General features: G+C 36.8%; 1 protein-coding gene across 2 annotated transcripts in view; it reads right to left on the reverse strand.

Moving 5' to 3' along the window:
• Nucleotides 1-3,571: 3,571 nt before the first annotated feature.
• GADL1 (glutamate decarboxylase like 1) overlaps nt 3,572-23,589 on the reverse strand; it is a 168,465-nt gene continuing 148,447 nt past the window's right edge. For both annotated transcript variants that reach the window (NM_207359.3, XM_017006297.2), the window contains exon 15: nt 3,572-5,790. In NM_207359.3, coding sequence (NP_997242.2) covers nt 5,617-5,790 — 174 coding nt within the window. In that variant the 3' untranslated portion in view covers nt 3,572-5,616. The remainder of the gene's footprint in view (nt 5,791-23,589) is intronic.

Below are 23,589 nucleotides of genomic sequence, written 5' to 3' on the forward strand. Positions count from 1 at the left end.
GAAATGCCATGCCTGCAAAATTAGAGAGTTAAGGAAACAGAAAACTTATACTATTTTCTAATGTACTTCATGCCCACACCCAAACTCACCGCCAACCCCATGGAACTATAAGGGTCTAAGTATCCAGTGCTTCATTTGACTAATCTCATGCCCGTTGAGAAGAAGTGGAAAACAGAATGAAGACTGAGAGCTCTCATTTTTCTTCCCTTGTGACTTACATTTAACCTGGGGTTGTTTTTGTATCACTAGATGAGTTTTCCCTGAAAAGCTAGTCAAGAGTCCCTTTATTGCACTGTTGCTACTGAACTGTGGTCCCTAAAGCCAAGAGATTCATGAAAAGGGAACTTCTTTCTGAATCCAGTTGGATTGAGCAATTTAATCCATATTTTCTTGAGTTACATTGTGTAAAATAAATCCTATACAAATTTGAACAATCATACAAGTTCTACTTAGTTGAAATAAATTTGCCCAAGGTCAATCTAGCTCAAATAGAATGTGATCAAAACAGAGAGACATAAAATTACTTCAAACTGCAATCAGGCCAGTTCAAATTATGTTAGGCTACTTCAGACCAGTTTAAATTAAAAGGAATCAAACTGGTCCTGAAGAGCTTAAATTGAGTCAAATTTTTTTCCAGTTCAAAATTGGCTCTAATTGAGTCAAGGGGATTAAGACATTTCAAGTTGTATCAATCCATTTCTAGTTGGATTAGATAAGCATGAACCAGGCAAGCTGGCTCTGATCAGCTAGAATGAGACAAATTGAATTCTAAACAGTTTAATTGGAATCAAGCTTTATCAATCTAAGTTAATTTCTGTGCTGCCTGGGAAACAAAACATTGCTTTAAGAACTGGTGTCACTCCATGCTTGTGTCATGGTGGCAAAAACGATGAGTTGCTTGCCAGTGTCCATTCTCATAGTTTTCTTCACTACTAGTGGAACTACTTATGTGGTTGTGGTCATCAATGTGTCTAGCTAAAACAAAGCAAAAAACAAACAAAAACCTACATTTTCTCATCTCTCCTGAAGAGAAATATGGCAAATGGAGTGGGCATTGAAAAATAAGTTCTTTTCTATTTCTTGTGCCTGAATTGTGGAAAAAAATGGCTGGAACTACAGAGTTGCAACCATGGGTAAAACATGGTGACTTAATTCATCTCTAAGGATGGCACAATAAAAATATATAAGGATCCTGGGTAACATGGTAAAGGTACCATCTCCTGTTTCCAAAGTGGTCAGTGCTCCTTCCAAATCTCCTAGGCACTCACCAGTCCTGCTGAAGACTTTACCTTCAAGCATCTGTACTCTCTGTCCAAAGGATTACTAGGGCCATAGGGGGAGCATGGTGGGGGACTGTCAGGGAGCTAATGCCCCTGGGATCAGTTTCAACCAATTTATCAACCAATGGATTAACACCTGTTCTTCCCCAGCCCTCAGATGGGACATCTCCAAGGTATATTTTATACCCTTTCGCCGATGTCATGGGTAGGATCAAGCCTCAGTTGCTCAGAGCATTAATTTGCTCACTAATAATCACTACTGATTCTCTTCCCTTTCCTGTCTCACTGTACCACTCCCAAAACAGTGTTTCCTGGCATCACCAAATGAATAGGATACTTGCTCTCAAATCCTTGTCTCATGCCTGCCTATGAGGTAACCAAATATAAGACCATCTCTGGATTGTCTATCTTGGAACTTCTTTTGAATAAAGAAACATAAGCCTCTTTAATCAAATCACAATTATTTGAGTATTCTGTAATATGCTGCTAAACCCTTTCTTATCTGATCTGATTAGCAATGTAATAATTTCTTAAGCTTAAATCTCTTTATTATTAGTAGTCCTTTTTCCAATGAAGAAAAACTATTAAAAACCAAAAGCCAGAAGAAGAATTTAAAAGCCTTTTGATTTAATAAAATCTGATGCCTACTAAAATAAATATTGAAAATTATATTCTAAATGTTTACTTTTAGCAAATACAATTTCAACAAGTAAATGGCTTTACATTGCCAACTAGTAAATTTCAGTTCTTACTTGACTCATCCATAGCTTTTGATAGAGTTGGTCCTTTCCTCCTTTCTGAAAAATGTTTCTCTAATTGGTCTGTAGGCAACCACCCTCTCTTGGCTTTCCTTCTGCCTCACTGGCTGCTTCTTTCCAGTCTCCTTTGCTGGTTTCCCCTCATCTCAAGCTGGTATTCTTAGGCTCAATCTTTGGCCTGTGTCTCCTTTTTATCAACAAGCATGCTCTACATGATATCATTTGATCCCATAATTTGAAATAGTATCCCTAGGTTGATAGATCTTAAATTTACATCTTCAATCCCAATTTCTCCCCTGAAGTTGAGACTCATAATTATTACTTATATACCATCTGTGGTTGGCTGGTTTTTAGACAGCTCAGTTTTTACATGGCTGAAACCAGGCAAAACCACTGTTCCTGCAATCTTCAACTCAGTAAATGGCAACTCCTTTATAATGGTTGCCCGGGCCAAAAGCATACGAAACTAGCCACAATTCCTCATTTCGCTTTCAACACTCCACACCAGTAGCCAACCCTATCAACTCCACCTTTAAATGCTTCCAGAATCTGACCCCTTTTCACCATACCTCCACTAAAATGGTAATATAAACTACCACAATTTCTTGCTTGAACTCTTTCAATTGCTTCCTATTTTAGTTCTCTGAGTCTACTCTTGCCCCACGCACACCCAATTCTCTAAGCAGTAATCAGTGTGATCTTGATTCAAATATAAATGGAATTACATCAATACCCTGTCCAAATTTTCCAGTGTATATCCATCTAACTCTAAGTCTTCACCTACAGAACCCAGTGTAGCTCACTCCCAGACACTTTTTTACTTCATCATTCACCACTCACTCTGTCATTCACTTGGCTTCAGCCAGACTCACCTCCATGTTGATCCTTGGACACATACCATGAATCCAACTCCTCAGGCGTCTGACTTATCATACCCTCTATCTAGAAGATCTTCTAATCAGCTACCCTTGTGCCTCTCTCCCTCACTTCCTGGAAGTCTCCATTCAAATATTACCTCAACAGAGGCCATGACTAACCAACTTTTCTACCATAGCACGGCCCACCACACTCTCCCTTCCATGCTCTATCTTTTTACTCTGTTTTTCTTCAGAATATTTATTGCCACCTGACATGTTATATATTTATGTGTCATCTGTCTCCATTAGGATGAAAATGTTAGAAGAGAAAGGACTTTGTCTATTTTATTCCCTGAATATTTCTAGTACCTAGATAATTGCCTAGAACATAGCAGGCACACTATAAATGTTTTAATGAAAGAATAAATGCATTATAATCATACTTTTATCAAAAAATTATTTTTGACCACTTAGTCAAATACCTGATTGAGTGTGGTATGTCTGAATATTTCAAGAAAAAATAATGAAATTTTCAAAATTTCTGGCAGCAGTTTTTTTTTTACATTGATCAAGGAGCTGCCCTCTCTCGTAAAAAGGCACAGCAGGAGTTGAACTGTGGCTGAGATACCCATGGCTTACCCAGTAATTGAGAAAGACTAAACAAGAGAGTCCACTCTTTGCTATAACTGCTTTTTCCATTTTATTCAAGGTGTTAACTAAAATACAGAGAGCTTTCAACCTACTTTTTCAGTCATTAAACTAAAATGCCAACCAAGTCCAGTTCACTTCTAAAATGTATTGGTACAATCCAGTAAAGAGGAGATGACAGGAAAAGAAAAGTCAACAACACTAAGTATAGTAATGTTCCTTTTTGTTTCATGAAACCCAAATTGTTACAAACATCAATTTTAGAAATATTTTATGTAGACATTAAAACAAAAAGGCAACAAGAAATGCAAAATAAACACACACACACACACACACACACCAATAGGTTTCACCTGAGAATTTGAAGTAATTCAGAGACAGATTTAATATTCTTTGACCAATAGAGATACCGAGAAACTGTGCACACTAAAATGAAAATAAGCAATAAAAGCAAATAGTACTCAAAATTTAAATGACATTGGTTAACAATGGAGTACGAAAAGGTTATTGAATGTGCTAAGTCTAATGCTTTAACACTCTTCAATCATTCACCTTTTAATGCAGACCTTTAATTATATTCATAATCTTATCTTGGTGAACTCTACACCCACACCTATGAATTCTGTCAATTTCTTAGTTAAACAAAACTCTCCTAGAAACCTAGGACCAGGGTCAGAGATAGAATTAAAATCACCCACTCTCAGGAGAAATGGAGGAAGCATTTACACTGAAAGTCTGCTGAATCCCAGATTCTGTAATATAAACCACTTAATAATCTATACTGACATTTCAAAGCTTAGGAAAGGGAATGTTGTACAACCCTGGACTTCATTGTGTTTATTCCCTATGAGGCACAGAGCAAGATAATAAACAAGCCCCTCAAGCTAAAAGAGGAACACAGAAACATATATGTGTGTATATATATATATACTATACACACACATATGTATGTGTGTGTATATATATACATATATATGTATATATGTATATCACAGAAACATATATATTTCCCAAATTTTTCTTAAAAAGCACCCCAGTTCAGGTATCTTGAATAAAGAAAATTAGTCATAGACGAAAAAAAAGAAAACCTTCCAGTTGTCTACCAAGAAAAAACTAATATGGATATTACATGCATTTCTATTTTGAAGACCAACAGTTTATTAATTTATTAATAGAACCTGTATTTTTCTGTCAATTATTGTGCTTTCAATTATTGTGCTTTGAATTATATATATATATATATGTGTGTGTGTGTATATATATATATATATATAATTTTAACTTTTGAGAATGGATAATTTTAACTTTTGAGATAAACATTCAGCCTGCATAAAACATAAATCTCTATGAAGTAAACATCTTATACAGTTTCTCTCTTTAAAAATAGCTTTGACATGCTTCTGATGTCCTTAAATATTTGTGCTGCAGATGCCATAGTTGTATTTTTTCAAAGACTGGCTCAGAGGCTTCTGAAATATTAGATATCCCTTTGCTGGCAAAACATCAGAGTGGGTATTCGATCATTACAAGGTTTTTCTTAAACCAGTGTTTCTCGGATTTTACTGTGCATCAGAATTCCCTGACGGGCTTGTTAAAACACAGAATACTGGGCCTCACCCCCAGAGCTTCTGATCCAGTTGGTCTAGAGAAAGCCTGAGAATCTGCATTTTTAGCAAGTTCCCAGGTGATGCTTTGATGCTGATAGTCCAGGGACCACACTTTGAGAACCACTGCTTTAAACCGTTAGTTTATAAGTTCTTTAAAGAGCAATGTAAGCTTAGAATCCAGAACCTACATGGTACTTACTAAACTCTCTTCAGAGCTGTGTTCCAGGGGCATTCCTTGAGAAAATCATTTTTTTTTTTAAACTTTCTTCTTTTAGCAACAGTAATGCCCAGGCAGCTAGAGAGTCCTTAATATTCATTGCTTAGCATTTTGGTTTTGCTGGGCCTGGACTGGGAGTATTCCCTATTTCTCATCAGAAGGGCTGCAATCTACTGTGTATCTCCAAGATGTTCTGGATCTAAACTCTCCCAGGATAGGATCTATGCCTCTGGGGGACCAAAGCCACAGCTACATGTCTTTACCCAGTAAGTCTATCTCATCCAGGAGGAAGTCCATGTCCTCCCGGCTCACTTGAGGGCTGATCACCACCTGGCGGAAGAAGTTGACCTTTCCCCGGTGCGGCTGGTAGCCCAGCATCAAGCTTCCCTTCTTCATCATCCTCTCCTTAATGGCTGGGGCCACCTGTGTGGGGAGAAAAGGGGAGAGGGGTGAAAGACCAGAACATCAAGGCATTTCAATAGCATTTTCACCAGCCATTGGACATTTACTGGGCATCCACTGGTTTGGATCCCATTCTCATTCACACAAGGTTGACACTAATAATAATAATAATTTATGGAGGACTCATGAGTACTGATTCAAGTGCTTTAGACATATTAATTAATCTTCACAATAACAGTGAGGAAGATGCTACTAATGTGCCCATTTATGGTCGAGAAAACAGGTACATGGCGAGTAAATCAGTATCTCAAGGTCCCAGGCATTTTCTCCCTAAGCCCATACTCTTAAGTGTAAATCATTATTCAATGCTGCCTCATTAAAAACAAATCAGGTGTCCACAGGGATTACAGTCTCATTCTCAAATTTGTCTTAACTAAAAAACACCCCAGTTCAGGTATCTTGAATAAAGAAAATTAGTCATAGATGGAAAAGAAGGAAACCCTTCCAGTTGTCTACCAAGAAAAAACAAATATGGATATTATGTACAGTTCTATTTTGAAGCCTAAGTTTATTAATTTATTAATAGAACATGTATTTTTCATCCTAGAAAAAAAGAAAGTTAGATATTATTCTCATATATGAAATATAAACACCCTGTCTCTTATTAAGAGATGTAAATGTGGTAATAAAATTAGGAAGCACATATTTTAAAGATCTATAGCTGACATGAGAAGTACAGGCCCTGATAATCCAGATACACAGATTTTTCTAAAAGTTTAATGTTTGAAGAAACTAGTCTAATTTAAGAACCACATGGGAAAATCAGTCCATTTTCTAATCAGTAGTATGGCCACCAAAGAGCTAGGTTGTAAACTTTTAAAATAGTGAAGTTCATTTTTGATACACTGAGTTAAAATATTAAGAATGCATTTTTACTGTCTTGGAAATACAAGCAAAGTTTTTCCACTTGAATTTTATTTTAACTCTGAAAACTTTTTGAGTGTGTCCTATGTGAATATGTGGAAAGGGAATATAATGAGTTTCTATCCTTGCCTTCTCAGGAAGATGAGACTTACTCCTCCAGAAGGGAGGAGTACATATAGAAAGAACACCAGGCAGAGTGTGCTTTTAAACTCCTTAGGTGAGGGGCATGAATCTGGGTTCCCACGAGTCTCCCTCTCTCGTAATGTGATAATCCCACACCAGCCCAGTTTTTGAACATACCCACATTTTGTCAGCAAGTCAAATGACTTCATCTGACACTCAACACAATCTTGATCTGTTCCAAAGCTGATGAAAAAATTGGGTGTTTTAGACCTCTGAAGATATTATGTGTTGAACTTAACCACAGAGCCTTCTCAAAGGATGTTCAAGGTTAATTTTAACTCAACACTTTTTTTTCCACATGTACTAATTTTAGAATATAAGTCTTGCAAAACATGGACTACACAGTGCTTGCAATAACAAAACAAACACCTATTCAGGAAAATCACATTGCCATTCTAGCAAAAAACTGGAAGTTTCTTACATTATCACAAGATATGAAAAGAAAATATATGAGTGTAAAAGAAAAAATGTAGAAAAGGTGATGTTAGAGGTCAAGTTAGTGAAAAAAGCATGGGCCATCAGGTTCTACAAACTTCTAAATATATGTGACACATTTTATTCTGAGCTTTCTAGAGATTAGAAAAATGTAACTAAACAACAGCCTGCATTCACTTGAAAAGAGTGGCAAATGTCCAGTTGATGCTGGAAGCCAGAAGCTAGGAAGTAACTCTCTACTATGCTTATACATATCTGCTTCAAACCCATGAATTTGTATGCATTGGTTGAGTTTTCTTCCAAATCCATGTATGCAAGTAGTAATTCTAAAATCTAGTAAAAAAATATGTAAAACAAAGATAGATGAGTGCCAAAAAAAGTGATTTTTGTAAAAACTAAGTTGAGTCCTTTGGAAAGAAGAGATAAAGGGGGATGGCTAAACATCATTGTGATCACACTAGGCAAGAGAACTGTAAAAGCTTTTGAGAATCCAGACTGATTCTGCACGGAGATCGCTACACAGGTGTCTGAGTACTTACTTCACCTGAAGAAACCCGAGCTGCATAAGACAGATGATTCCTGAAGAATGTAGTTTATGCAAGAACAGTGGAGGGCCCTCTCATCATCAGACCTCTACTTAAGAAAAGTTTCACTTGTTTATAAAAAGCATTTGGAAATCTTCACTAGGTGGAAAAAACCTTTCCATCAAAAGATGGTAACATAAATGTACACTGATATACAAATATAACATTAAAAATTTAAATATAAAGATACAAATATTAAATGGGAAAATGCTCACATTATGTATGTATCACATTATTTTCTAGAATTATTTGCTTTACCTGACTAATCCTCCTCACCTTAGGTAGGAGGGCTTCTCGTGCATATGTGGATATAAATGGGTCTGCGTGCATAAGCATGTGTGTGTGTGTGTGCCTGTGCATATATGCACATGTTAATATACACACTCACATATAATTTAAACCTCTGACCCACCATATTGTACTGCTTTTAAAATCTCTCTGGCCACAGGGCAATGGAGAACCACGCTTTGACTTAGGTTCATCATAAAAGTACACTTGTTTTTAATTCAAAGAACAAGTGGCTTTCTGAATGCAAACTGTGAGAAAAAGACAACAGTAGTGCCAGTGCTGAATCAAGATTGGGAAGACCTGGTTTACATGGACCAAATGTCTAGCTAGAAGGGCCACAGACTATCAGTTTTAGAGCTTACAGCTTGCGGTTCTGTGGTTCTTGTTTTTGAAATCAAAATTCTCTTCATGTTCCTCTCCTTCGTCCTCCAGGTACCCAGGGTATAACTGGCTCTGGCTTGTAGCCAATTTTAAATGTAAAACAGGCATGCTCTTGGCTCAGGCCTAATTTGCATAGTGTATTCCTGTTTACTTTTCAATACTTCCATTTTTTCTCCCAAAATGGTATTTTATGCCTTATCTTTGGAGAGCATTAGAATTTTGATTCCAGTACATAATATATCTGAGGCTCACATGAGGCAATTATCAAAATGAATCTGTCACGTTTGTATTTCTTGTGAGGAAGCCAGAAATACTTTCTAACGTGAACAAGAAAGGTAAAGGAAGAGGGCACCTCAGATGTTTTAATATAAAGATACTTTGGATGTTTAAATTCTTGCTCTTGTGTAAAGCGCATGACTGTACTTCCATGGGCAAAACGCAGGGAATAAAAACCAAACTTCTAGGACAAATTTTGTTACTGACTTTCTGAGATTATAAAGACATAACTAAATATATGACTCAGAGAACTAGCTAAGCAAGGGTTTAACAGTACAACACATTTTTATTTATGAGTCTATGAACTATAAGATTAATTCCTACAGGCAGTTACTACTAGGTAAAAAAGGAAGGTCTCCCTTGTCTATGAATACTTCGCGGGAAAGAAAGTAATAACATCAAAGCTGATATTCATCAAATCTTTATCACAAACTATTCTGCTGGTAGTAGTAGTTGTTGTTTTTAACAAGTATTTTACCAGTTCTTTACAATTTGCAATGTCCTCTCACTTGTCTGATTCCCATAAATTCAAATTAAAGCTTATTTGAAAGGAATTCATGTTTTGGCAATTTAGGGACCAAGCACGTTCTCACTAACAGTCAGCTTATCACCTTTGCACTTAAAATCAACCATTTTTTATTTATGAAGCTCCAGGCATAATCCAATGCTAGGTAATTTGGATATTCCTTTTTGCTGATCACAGCAGAGACAGTCCTAATCTGACAGGATGGCATGGTCACAGGGGAAGGAAAATATGCATGAACTAAATGTAGGTATCCAGATACCACCCCTAAATGGGGCGCGCATAGAGGAAAGCAATTTGGCAGGAGTGAGATTGCTTTCCAGCTCTCAATTATTTTTCTGCTGTTTTTTCTTCAAATTGTAAATCAAATTCTTTTCTTGTGCCTCAGTGCACTGGTCCCTGCATCTTAAGTGGAGGAAGATTCTGACATTTCTATTTGGATACACGGTGACTTAATGTACACATTTCTGTGGAATTTGTCTCTCCCTACCCCTGAGTTATGTTCCATCAGTGATTTAGTCATTTAAATAGAGTCTCGTTGCACATCGCTGTAGCACCAAATAGGATTTGATATTTAAAAGTTGCTTAAACCCAAGGAAAAATAAAATAAAATGACTTTCTTTCTGACCAAGCAGGGCAATTCGATAAAAAGCTTCTGACCAGGCATCATTATTGCCTTTGATTAAAATAAAATGATAATTTCCATAAAATGACATTTCTTTTTAAGAATTTGTTATATACTCAGTGTTAACAAGAACAGTTTTTCAAAATACAAAGTGTTTTTCAGGGTCGGGCATGGTTGCTCACGCCTGTAATCTCAGTACTTTGGGACGCCAAGGCGGGCAGATCACTTGAGGCCAGGAGTTTGAGACCAGCCTGAGCAAAATGGTGAAATCTGTCTCTACTAAAAATACAAAAATTAGCTGGGTGAGGTGCTGCTTCTTTGTAATCCCAACTACTAGGGAGGCTGCGGCACGGGACGCAGGGGTTGTGGTGAGCCAAGATCACTCCACTGCATTCCAACCCGGGTGATGGAGTGAGACTCTGTCTTAAAAAAAAGTAATAAAATACAAAGTGTTTTTCAAACTATCTGTGGGGAAGGATCAGTTTTATTTTTTTCAATGCATTATAAACTAATACTTTAGTAAAATACAATAAAAATCAATTACTAGCAAAATGAAATAAAAATACAAGCCCAATTTTGTTTATTTTTAAGTTCAATAGTAAAGCTAATCTGTTAAGGTTGCTATAAAAGTTTCTAAATGGAAACTGTGGATTTCCATAAATTTCTTATTGCAGACTGGTGACACAGATGGGTTGGGATTGCTGCTGTGGCTTTCTTCCAGTATAGTTTTTCTGGAACAATCACAAAAACTAATTTGCTTTATACTTTCCTCCCACGTAATCTGGGTTCCCAATGTGTCCCACTTTCTATGTCAACTTGAGGAGAGTTCTGCTGAGTGGGATATTGAAATCTAGTTCATGGAAAAAATTGGCATGAAATGTTCATACTTTGTATCTGGCACCCAAAACTATCACTGAGACTTACATACCTCCCTCCCCTGTAAAGTCATCTCTTTTCTTTTCTTTTCCTTTTCTCCTTCCTTCCTTCCTTCCTTCCTTCCTTCCTTCCTTCCTTCCTTCCTTCCTCCTTCCCTCCCTCCCTCCTTCCCTCTCTCCCTCTCTTGATTGCTTGCTTGCTTTCTCTTCTTTCTTTCTTTTTTTGTAGTTTGGGGTCATCTTAGATTTTCTGAAGCCAGGTGGAGATACACCACGGATCAAGGCAGGGGCCAGAATTCAGGGCATGAACAGCATCAAGGGGAGAGCTTAAGTGGAAGGATTTCAGTCCAAGAGAAGTATTAACATGTCAAGACAATTCAGACTTTGATGGGCTTTCCCCGTGCCTCCCCCTTCTGAGGGGGTGCTCCAATGCAGTGGCTATCTAGAAGGCAGAGTTTTTCCTGTCTCACTGTACTCAGGAGAAATTAGCCACAGTCCTCAAAAGCTGAAGGCTGATTAACCATCTGAGAAAAGCCAACCTAGAGAGTCTTGAATGCCAGCTTCTGCAGATGTGAAAAGTTAGACATGTGAGAAAGCATGAAATTCTTTTATTTGCTTTATTAATTTTTCTGGTATTTATCTCCATAACTAAAGCATTATGGTTGCCAGTGAATTTAAGGTCTTCAGAACCATGTTAGATCACAAAGTCTCACATCGATTTACATCTCTGTTTGCCTTTTAGTTTCAATTTTTGTTTAAGTATATTCTTCAGTGGAAAGTGGATTTCATCTGTTTCTGGTGATGAAAGAGCTCAACAATATGTCTCATACAAATACTTCTTAAAACCTAATGAATATTCTTATCTCTGAACTACATATCTGACCATAAATATGAACTGAATTATTCTGCCTGTAAATATGAACTGGATTTTCCTTTACACGTGCAGCTCACAACATGTAGAGCTGAAATGGGCTTTGGATTCAGCTAAATATATATCCTCTAGTGTGTAACCTCCATGTTAGCCAGGCAGGTTGTTACTAAATGAACAGCTGTTGACAGAAAGCATTTCCTTATCGTCCAAACATATGATAGTGCAAAAAAGAAAGTGGTTGTTTTAGTCTTATATAAAAAAATTTTTGTGGTAATGGTTAGCTTTACATCTTTAAAATGTATTAAACGGATAGTTTCACCAAATAAAAAAAATTGCTAACCCACAATATAGAAGCTTTTCTTTGTATTTCCAAATATGTCTGAGTAATTTGTCTCTTCTCCCAAATGAGACATCTTACATACCAGACATTTGCCCTCCCAACACAGCTTGCTTTTGTCCATAGCCATAAACTGCAGAAATTTTGATTATCTTTCATCATATAGTCAATTTTGCTCCCCATTAAGGAAGAAACCAGTACTTGACAGACAAGTACTTTAGCACCTTCATGTTTCTTAGAGCACCTGACAATGTAAAGAGGGGAAAATAATAGCCTTCTTAGTTTGTGTTCAGGTACCATCTAAATCTCTCTACTTTGTTGTTGTTGTTTTTCTTCCTGATTTAGTCTTAGGTAAAATGATCTGATTTCTCTGTTGTTTCATCAAGTTACACATTTTCCTTCTGGAATAGAAAAATAGCAAGGGTGCTGCCCTTTTTGAAAGCTACTTGATCCATGCAGTAAAGAAAACTAAATCTCCCATTGCATTGTGTAGAAGGGGTCACACTATACAATTTAACCTTCTACGGCAATTGTTTGTTAATGAAAAATTTAGAACATTTTTCTTAAAAATGCCAAATCGAATGAAATCATTCACTCTATTTTCTTCTTCTTCTTTACATTGGTGTTTTGGCTGTATAGTCTTCATGAAAAAAGAAATGTGAATGTTTACAGCAACTTTATTCAAAGCAACACAAATGTACTTCAAGTACAGAATGGATAAACAAAACTGTGGTATACCTATACAATGGAATACTACTCAGCAATTAAAGGGAATAAACTACCAACACAACATAGAAGAATCTCCAATAGATTATGCTAACAGAAAGAAGCCAGACTCAAAGGCTGCCTTCTATATGTTTCCATTTATGTGGCATTCTGGAAATGGCAAAATCAAATGGCTAGAGAAGAGATGAGTGGTTGCCAGGACTTGGGCTGAGGGGAAGGGTTGACTACAAAGGGTCAGTCCTAGGGAATTTTGGTGAGTGATGAACACTGTGTCATGGCGGTGGGTATATAAACACCAGCAGACAATAAATTCTGTTCGAAGCTGGGCCTTTGCACTCTTGGGTGCAAAGGAAGAAGGCATTTTGAACATGGTGGAACTTGAAGCTTTTCTTCCTGGTGGGCTGAGTGGAATAATGGGAACTGCATGGCTCAAAGATTTTGGGGGCTCTACCACACATCAGATTGAACATATTTAAATGTACCCAACATACTTATTAAATATAATTCATATGCAATCATAGAAGATTTCAGTTGAATTGTGATGGACTAAATTAACATAATCTTTCATTATGTTTGTTTTTCAGTTTTCCTTTTACATTTTGGATCCATTTTTAAAACTAGCAAGTATTTTAATGTGGCCCTATTGAATTCCATGCTCTCAATGTTTATTTTGCCTGATGATTAAATAAACAAGCTCTGTTCACACTAGTGTGATCAAATATCTAGTTTGCTCAGGAGACACCCATTTTATACATGTTTTCCTGTAATTATCAATAACACCCCTTTTCATGGCCATAAGTGTCCCAGTTCAGATGATAAACTTTATGGATTAGACCGACCATACACAGACCAACAGACTAGCTTAGACTGACTTGTGACCTAATTCCTGAGATTCTCTGTGACTTTGGGCCAATATTTAACTCCTCTGGGAATCATATTTCTCTTCCATTCAGAGCCGATAATCCTTTGCAGGGTCCTTATGTGGACTAAATGAAATAATGAGAACACAATAAGCATAGTGCTTGGCATACTAGGCACTCACTAATAGGAACTAATATTATTTATTTCTTAAAATAAATTTGTATTTAATCAATTTACACTCCCGCTTGGACTTTTATTACATTATTTCATTATTATCTCTTGAGACATGAACATTTGCAAGTGCTATGAAAAACATGAAATAATTTATTTTCTCCCCGAAGTGTCTAAACTGGATTTAAATATTTATGAGACAGGCTGCAAGTTTGAAGTTTCAGAAATTAAATATTGCAACTCATGTATGCCATTAATCTTCCATTTAAGTTCCAGGATTTTTTCAAACGTTGATAAAGTCAACTTACATTTTTCCTTTACAAAGTAACACAGTCATTGATAATCTTGGCAGATTTTTTGGAGGGAAGTTTTCCACTAAAATTTATTGTGGGCAGGGATGAGTTTTTATTATATTCTAGAAATTTCTATCTGTTGCATAAGTTGTTAGAATACAAAAACATTTTAAAAGTAAAAAAAGTTACTTTTTCTTGGACCCATGAAAAGGCCATGTACTTAAAATTCATGAGCTTATTTCCAGCATTGTGCAGTCTCCTTGTGCTTTCTTGTCACTTATGTCTTTATCAAAGAAAGGTTGAAGAATACTATTTGGTATGTCCCAAACGTACAAGAAAATACAAATCACCTAGATTCAGGCCCCAATCAGAGCAGCTGAATTTGAATTTCAGTCGAATAAGCCTAGTGGTCTGTATATTTACCAGGCCACCCAAATGCTCTTTTTCATGATGTAAGTTTGGTGAATGATGATCTCTTACTTAGGACTTTGGGAGAGGCAAAGGTGAGGTTGGAGGTAAGAGGAGTTTAGTAAAGGAAAAGCAATTTTGACAGAAGAGGGGAGAGGAAATTGAGAATTTCCTCTCGCATTGCTTATGTCGATTTTGTAATAAAACAAACCAGTGACCTTCAAAGAAGTTGTTAGCCAACTTTTTTGTTAATCATAAAATCTAATAAAGTGTTTAAAACACTTAACCATGGCCCAGGAAACAATGAGCCTCTTAGTTTTGATTGCTCAAAGAATCAATTTTTCTCTTCTAATATATTTTCTGCCATTTTTAAACCTATCTAATTCTTCTCTTACTCCTTCATACAACCTTACTCATTTCCCCTGATACCTCCCCAATCCATAATTTAGAGGTAAAATGCATTAGTATGAGTCTCTCAAGTTTAAATTATGTAAAATTGGTGGTCTATAGCCCATGAAATCATGTGCATCCAAGAGATCATTTTAGCTTGGCAGAATATGAAGAAAAAAGCCATACTTTGATTGGACATACCTTTTTCAAATATGAATTTTACCCTTATTTTCCTCCTGAGTATATCTGAAAATCAGACATGCGCAAAATAAAAGAACTGCCTCATTCATGTTCTTTCCAATACAGATGAGCAAAGCTACAGAAACAAAGAGTTTAGAAACCCCAAAAGCCAGAAAAACACAGTGAGCTTCACATTTGGTGTTTACAACATAGTGACAATGATGACAGCACTTCCAATAAACCTAATGTCAGTCATATATTCAAGGCAGCTGAAATGAACAGTCATAAAAACAAACGAAACTGAACTGAAAGCTTTAGCTGAACAATGGACACAATAAACATTTTATACACTCTATAAAGCAAAAGCTTAATACCCAGTTGTGTCTCAGCAGCCACCTGAGCTAATAGCTCCTGAGTAACTGTTGTGGGCCAACTCCCAAATGTCTGCCTATGTTGGGAGATCCCTGTACTGCTCCCTAAATGCAGTTATTCAGTAGCTCTCTACCAGAGGTGCTACCAACTCCCTTGGGGCATTTGGAATCATGGCAAAGCATTTTGGATGGTTGCAATGACTGTGGAGTGCTACTTGCAGTTAGTGTCTCATGGTTAAGGGTGCCAAACACCTCACAATGCTGAAAATAAATCTGCCCAAGGAAGAATCATGTTATCCAAAATGCCAGTAGTGCCTCTGTTGAGAAACACTTCTCAGGAGCCCCATAATTCCCACCGACATCTCTACACTTTTTCTTGACATATCCTGAGACCTTTAAGTTTTTCTCGGGAGTCATTAACCTTGCTTTGGCCCAGAGCAAAGTAAATGGGATCTTCAGTGCTTAAAGGTATGTTCATGTTGTTTTCCAAGGATTCATAACATATTCAATGAGTATCACTCCATCTGAGAGGAGAGAATGAGTACAATCCCAGGTTCTTCTTTAGGTTCTATGGGCAGTGGTCCAATATTTCTGAATATTGTGTCTGGCCATTTCAGCAGGCATACGATGCTTTAGTTTCGGCACTACTGCCTATTACAATAAGTGGGTCATATTCATGAGTTTTTAGCCACACAGATGTCACATTCACACCTTACCCACACACTTAGTGAGATGAGAAGCACCTGAAATACACTCTATAGAAGATGAAAATTATGATTCATTTTCTCACGGGTTTTCTCAGGGCAACTTTCTCTGAGAATTCTATTACTTTTCAATATTTGGCATTGGGAAATTAGCAGCTACAATTTTCTCTTTTGATTTATTCCACTCTAACAAGCCACTGACAGCCAACGAGGCTCTTCTGGGCATAAAGGCAAAACTCCTACCTAGCAGCACAGGCACAGATGTGGGAAGCGGCCCCAGTGTTGGCACAGCAATAATTTTACATTGTAGAACCTGCATATCAGGCTTGGGAGGCCTAGCTTCCTGAATTACAGAATTACTGATTTTATAGTAGATGCAGGGGCCTGACAAGGCAGGGGATGAAAAAAGAAGGGAGCCCATGGCGTTATGCTGCTTTGACCTAAGAGACATCTTGTTCTATACAGGCTGCCGAGACATTCCAATTATGCCTTGGTGAGATTCCTGTATTCGCCATCCTGCACCCTCCTTCCTGTGCCCATCCTCCTGTGTGACTATCTACCTGCCCCCACCTGCCTGTGCCCACCTGCCTGCACCCATGCACCTGTATCTTATCTTGTTTATAGGTTTTTTCCACTGATTATTTGCTTCAGGAGTAAACTGAAGTCTAAGTTGTCTTTTTGACCTTTTTGTTTGTTTGAATACAGTTGTTCATTATCCATACAAAGTTAGTTGCACACCACAGGATGTGTTCTCAGCTCTCCCTATACCTTCTCTTTGCATCTCTATTTATGTCATTTTCATGTTTTACTGCACTTCTTTATTCAGCTATAGTGCATCCTAAAACACCTTGGTATTTCAATCTCAGAGGCAAAACCTGAACTTTTAAAGTCCCAAGTGTTATGTACCTTACTTTACTTCTGTCGCTGAATCAAAGAAAGCTACCATGAGGATACTTTAAAATAATTCTTATTCCTGTATTATTCATAAAAATATTGAGAAAATGTTAAGTATGAGGTGTTTGTTCCTCCTGGAAATCTTTATAAATACTAATAAAGAGTCTTTACCATTAATGCTGTAAATATTAACCAACGGTTTTTAAAAGCAATCCAGACCATTTACTTGAGTAATGAAATGCTTTTGATTTGCACATTTTGAGAAAATTAATGAAAGCAAGTTACACATTATTTTTTATGGAGCTTGCTCAACACTCCTAGTGTTTAAGGTTGGAAATTACTCTTTCCTCTAAATCATGATGTTTCTATTGTGTCCAGGGGGCTACAGGCTACAGAGGGATAGAGGGGCTCCCACAAGGGGTAAGAAGAAAGCAAAGCAGGCAGGACCCACCTCTGCCTAAACTAAGCTCTGCTTTACCTGCTTCGTATGTCAGAGTTCTACGTAAGAGTTTGCTTGGCAAAAAGGGCTCTGGTATTTAAAAAGACAGAGTTTGAATTCGACTGGTAATGTATTTTTGTTATTATTCAAGATCTTTTTTTGGGAATAACTGCAAAATAGCCCTCAAGATGTCAGCTAAGGGAATTCCTACATGCCACGTCTAAGGGGAGAAAGTTGCTCTTGGAGTCTGGCATTCTTTCCCAAGTTGGGGAAGTTGTGAGAAAGGTCCTAGAGAAACATGTGGCTCTGCTGAAACCAAGCTTCTTTTGCTTAAGAGTTTAGGGTAAGTGATACACGTCAAGTTATGTTCAAGTCAAGTAATGATAGTAATAAATTACTATTTCACACAATTGAACCTCTACGTACGTCCTAAAGCAGTTACATAACAAAACACTATCACCTTCCCCCCAAAGGTCTCTTTTGCTTCTTCCAGGTAATCACTATTCAACTCCTACTTTCTTACTCTCCCATATATGCCCCTAGGGTTTCAAGTTATCTACCAGCCATTTGAATGTCTTCTTTTTGTGAAATGCCTATTTATGTTCTTTGTATATTTTTGTTTTGGGTGATCATCTTTTTCTTACAAATTTAGAAAAACCCTTTATTATTAAGAACATTAATTCTGACTTTACGTGTTGCAAGTTATCTGCTTTTAACTTTGTTTTTAGTTATTTCCTGAACAATTTTTATATTTATACAAACAAACATATATATATCTAATATATAAAAAACAAATATATTATATTTGATATATCAAATATATTTATTATATATTATATATTAATATATATTATATATTATATATTAATATATATTATATATTATATAATATATTATATAATATATATTTGATATATCAGATATATAAATGTTTGTATAAATATATATAGGTGTTTGTATTATATATATGTATTCCTAGTATATATATATATATATATATATATATGTGTGAGATAGGTGGTTTGTTTGTATAAATATTATATATATTATATAATTATGTGTGTGTGTGTGTGTGTGTGTGTGTGTATTCCAACACTGTGGTGTTATACTTAAGCTCTCTCTGCCCACGCCAAGATTACAAAAATGTGTGTTATTTTCTGATTTGATTATGACACTTAAACTTTTAATCCATTTAAACATTCAATTTTTTACCTTGCATAGAGATACACTCCTACATCCCCACATTTAACCAGTAGTCTCAACACTGCTGATGGAACAAGCCTGCCTTTCCCCAGTGTGTATTGGAAACATGTTCGATTCCTATAAATAACTTGGGCCTAAGCCTTCTATTCTGTAAGACTGATCTGTCTATTCTCAGAATAATCCAAGTTGTTTTATTTATATAATTCTATAATATATTCAGTTCCTAGAGAACTCCCCTCTCAAAATGTTCTTGCCGGTTACTACCAACTTAGTCTCCTAGAGGACATCCAGAAGTGTTTTTGATGAGTTTAAAAAATCATTTAATTATTATGATTAGAATTATATTAAGCCCATGTATAAATTAGGGAAAAATTAATCTTCTCACCTAAAATTATGGTGTTTTTCAGTTTCAAAATGAGGTAAATTTAAAAAATATGACTGCAATTTTGTTTGACACTTCTCTCAAAGAGATTTCTTGAATGAGAGAGGGCTTGTGGCACACTAATCACCAGTGGGGTGCAGTGGAAGAGATCCTGTGTGGCCTCCAAGGCAAGGTCAGGAGAGGTGGACTATTGTCCAAATTGTTCTCAGGTACACTGACTTTCCCAAGTTCAACTCTCCTAAGCCCACTATGAGGAATTCCAGGCCACATGGAGAGGCTTTCCTGTAGGTGCTCTGATTGACAGCTCCAAATGAGGTCCCAGCTAAGGGCCAGCATTAACCACCAAACATGTGAGTAAAGACGCTTCCAGAATATTTTGGCCCGGACAGTAAATCACCTTCAGCTATTTTAGTCTTCCCAGATGAGACTCTAGACATCATATTCCCTCTGTGCTCTGTCAGAATTCCTGACACACAAAATCCATGAGCATAATAAAATACTGCTTAATGCTCCTACATTTGGAGTGATTTGTAAAACAGAAATAGTTATTGGAACATTAAGTGGTTTTTTTTTTTGGCCTTAAACTTTTATAGTTTTCTTCCATAGATATTATACTTTATTTAAGTTAACTCTTAGTTATTTAATATATTTTTTTTATTATGGTGATAAAATTATTCTGACTAAAAAGCTACCTTCTGATGTAATTTTTCATTTTCTAGCTCCCAGTTTCTTACCTTTTGTGTAGTTATTCAACTTTGTACATCTACTGCAGTACATTTCTAAAAGTATTTTATTTGATATTCTTAGGTTTTATAGATATACAATCACACAATTTAAAATGAACATATTTGGGTCTTCTCCATTTAAATATTATAAAATTCAGGTCTTTTCTGGTCATTATATTGGCTGGTACTCTCAGAACATCATTAACTCATGGTGGTCAAGCCAGACGTTCCTAATTTGTTACTGAGTTTAAGGGGAAGGTATTTCATGTTTAATATATATAGTTCTAAATATCATACAAGAAAACAAAATAATATAATCATGAGATAAACTCTAAGCCCTACTATTAGTTTTGAAGGTCATATATTTTAGCATATTTCAAGTAATTTTTTTTTTGCTACATTTAAGTGGGAGAAGTAATTTTGGATTACTTTTTTTATTTACTTGTTCAGAGATAGGAAGAAAATGGTGAAATTGCTACTTAAAGCATGCTTCTGCTTAGCTTTAGAAATAATGACATTCTGCTGAATGGAGCAATAAAAACAGAACCTGCGCATGATCTTGTATGCTACACCAGCTGACTAATCCATCTCCTCAGATGGTTTTTCAGAGTCCAAAAATGCTACATAAATTTTTTTCAACCTGTGTGAGTGGATTATTTTGTGGCTTCCTGAAATAATCCTCTCATCTTTTAACACAGTTCTGACCCAGTTTGAGAGAGTATCTTTAATATCTTGTTCTACTTCACTGACCTCAAGGCAGAATAGCCAGAAATATATGCATTTAACAGGCAACTTTCATCTTCAAGCTCACAGAAGGGTTGGCTTTCTTTAAAAAGGAAATTGAAACTTATATTACCAGGCAGCTTTTTAGATGATTTTACTTTCCATTTTATAACTCCAGCAAATAGGAAGCAGAGATGTGGAGTGAGTGAAGGAGATATGTGGAGTGACCAAGGTGCCTCAGAATAGCGCATAACAATTGATGGAAGCAAACACAAGCTGTCACAGCGCCTGCTTTTACCTCACCATTGATTATTCATCAGGTGAAAGGCACTCATCCCAGAAAGAAAAACAGAAACACACGTATGGAAGACAAGGAAAGTGGGTTGCTAGAACAAAACACAGAACAATAGCCCATCCAGAGGAGTGGGCTGGTGAGGTACTTACAGAACACAACCACTCTGAGAATTCACAACACACTCTGATTCCCTGAGTGGATGGTTAGGAGCATGGGTGTTTTCTAGTTGGTAAATGTGAGACTGATTGTTATGGTTATTGCCTGTTAAAAATAAATTTTATTATTGTTCTTCATTATTTAAATGTCCTTCTTGCCTTTGCCTCATAACCCACACACAGGGCCTGCTGTAGGAGGAGTACATATCTCTGTTCCATTGCTAAGTGACCACTTCTGAGCTGAAACTCTAAGAGTCATTGTGTGTTTCTGCCAGGCTTTCTCCTTTCCCTTTGGTGCAAGAATAGCATTTCCCAGACAGGGGCTCCTCCATCAGTCTGGATGCTGGGGGGAAGACCATGGAGCAGAGCAGAGCTGTGACTGACCCCCAGGGCATGAAGCATGATCAAGAAATACACCTTTGTATTATAAACCATTGAGATTTGGCTGGGAAAGGTGGGTGGGGAGAGGGAGGCTTATTTGTTGCTGCAGTGTAACTAAGTGAAACCTAATTCATATGACTCAAACTAAGGTATATTTGGTTAGATCTAGGTGAGTTCTACTTTAGAGGAAATCCTGGTAACTGTTGTTTGTTTGTAAGTTATAGCTGTAATTAATTTTCCCTGTATTCAAAGCCCCCAAACCCTGCATTCAGATACTATGCATTTAGACTTCCTTAGGCAAAGTCAAGGCAACAAGCTGATGATTCTAAGCTATTATTCAAGGAGTATCTACCATCATAAAGGTGGTTTAGTCATATAGATAATATCAATCAATAATACAGGAGATGGCAAAAATTTTTTGTGAAGAGCCAGATAGTAGCTGAGTATGATGACCCCTAATCTCAGCACTTTGGGAGGCTGATGGGAGAGGGTCATTTAAGACCAGGAGTTCAAGACCAGCCTGGGCAACATTAAAAAACTCCATTTCTACCAAAAACTTTAAAAAAATTAGCCGGGTATGGTGGCTCATGCCTGTAGTCCCAACTACTTGGGAGACCGAGGCGGGAGGATTGCTTGAGCCCAGGAGTTTGAGGCTGCAATGAGCCATGATCACACCACCGCACTCCAGCCTGGGCAATAGAGTGGCACACTGTCTCCAAAAAGAAAAGAAAAAGCTACATAGTAAATATTTTAGACTTTGCAGGCCATACAGTTTCTGTGGCAACCACTCAGGTTGTAAGTGAAAGCAGCCATAAATAATAGAAAACAAATGAGAGTGGCCATGTTCCAATACAACTTTATTTACAAAAAAATGACAATGGGATGTGTTTTGCCTGTAGGCTGACCCTTGTTGTAGAATAAGAAACACGAACAGCGGCGAACGAAATCTAAATAACAAGCCTAATGTAGCATGTTCTACAACTATGTTTATATGGTTTTAAAATTAAAAGCTATCCAGGAGCCATTGAAGAACATGGTTAAGTTCTTGGTTTTCCTATATGTAAAATAGAGACAGTAGAAGTTATTTCATAAGATTTTTGTAGGAATTAAGATGAAATATAAAGTGTGCATGAGTGAGCAAGTGCTTAATGAATTCCAGCTTCTTTAATCTTTCTGTGTGCTACTATTCAGGACTCAAAGTAGATTATTAGTGAAGGCCTATTTAATTCATGCCAAGTTAATGAATGAGGTCAAACAGTAATAAGGTGAAGCACAGAATCCTTTAAGTCGACATTTGCCGAGCAATTCAAACTTACGGTAATGAAGAATAAATATTAATATATGTCATGATTTACATGTCTATCAATTAGATCCCTAATTATATTGATTTGACATGGAAATGCTTTATTTTTATTGCGGGGGTACATTTGGAATGATAGAAAATAATTATCTGTGTTCCACACCCAAATCATGAAATTCTTTCCTGCATGGACAAGGGATAGAAAATAAAACCCTATTGCTATCTGCTATATTAAGAAGCTGCTCAATTAAACAGAAGTCAATTTTGTTATTCATTAAACTCAGATTGAGACATCAAATTTTCTTTCAGAAAGCAGTGGATCTCAATATGTTGCTCTGTGTTCTGTTAAATACCTTCCATCATGAATAATTAGTGTCAAATGTGCTCAGAAGCTCATGGCCAATATTCATCATCTTTGGTGCATGGGCCATAGTGACAATTGTTGAGATACCTGAACTTTTTCTTTTTGTAAATCTAAATGCCACCAGAGAAAAATATATTTGTTTTTCCAATACATTCTCTGCCTGATTTAACGTTTAAAATTTATCTTCCTAGGCCTCTACTTGGAGTTCATCCTGTTCCAAAATATTAAAATTCTCTTCCCTTATTCTTTCCATTTCTTCTTCTTCTTCTCCTTCCCCTTCCCCCTCCCCTTTCCCCCACCCCTCCTGCTCCTCCTCCTCCTCCTTCTTCTTCTTCTTTTTTCCTTTTATTGCACTCCAGCTCTGTTGCCCAGGCTGGAGTGCCATGGTGGGGTCTTGGCTCACCGCAGCCTTCGCTTCCTGGGTTCAAGCAATTCTCCTGTCTCAGCCTCCCGAGTAGCTGGGATTGCAGGTGTGTGCCACCATGCCTGGCTAATTTTTGTAGTTTTAGTAGAGACAGGGTTTCACCATGTTCACCAGGCTGGTTCGAGACCT

Source organism: Homo sapiens, chromosome 3 (assembly GCF_000001405.40).
Source record: "Homo sapiens chromosome 3, GRCh38.p14 Primary Assembly".
Classification (NCBI taxonomy): Eukaryota; Metazoa; Chordata; class Mammalia; order Primates; family Hominidae; genus Homo; species Homo sapiens.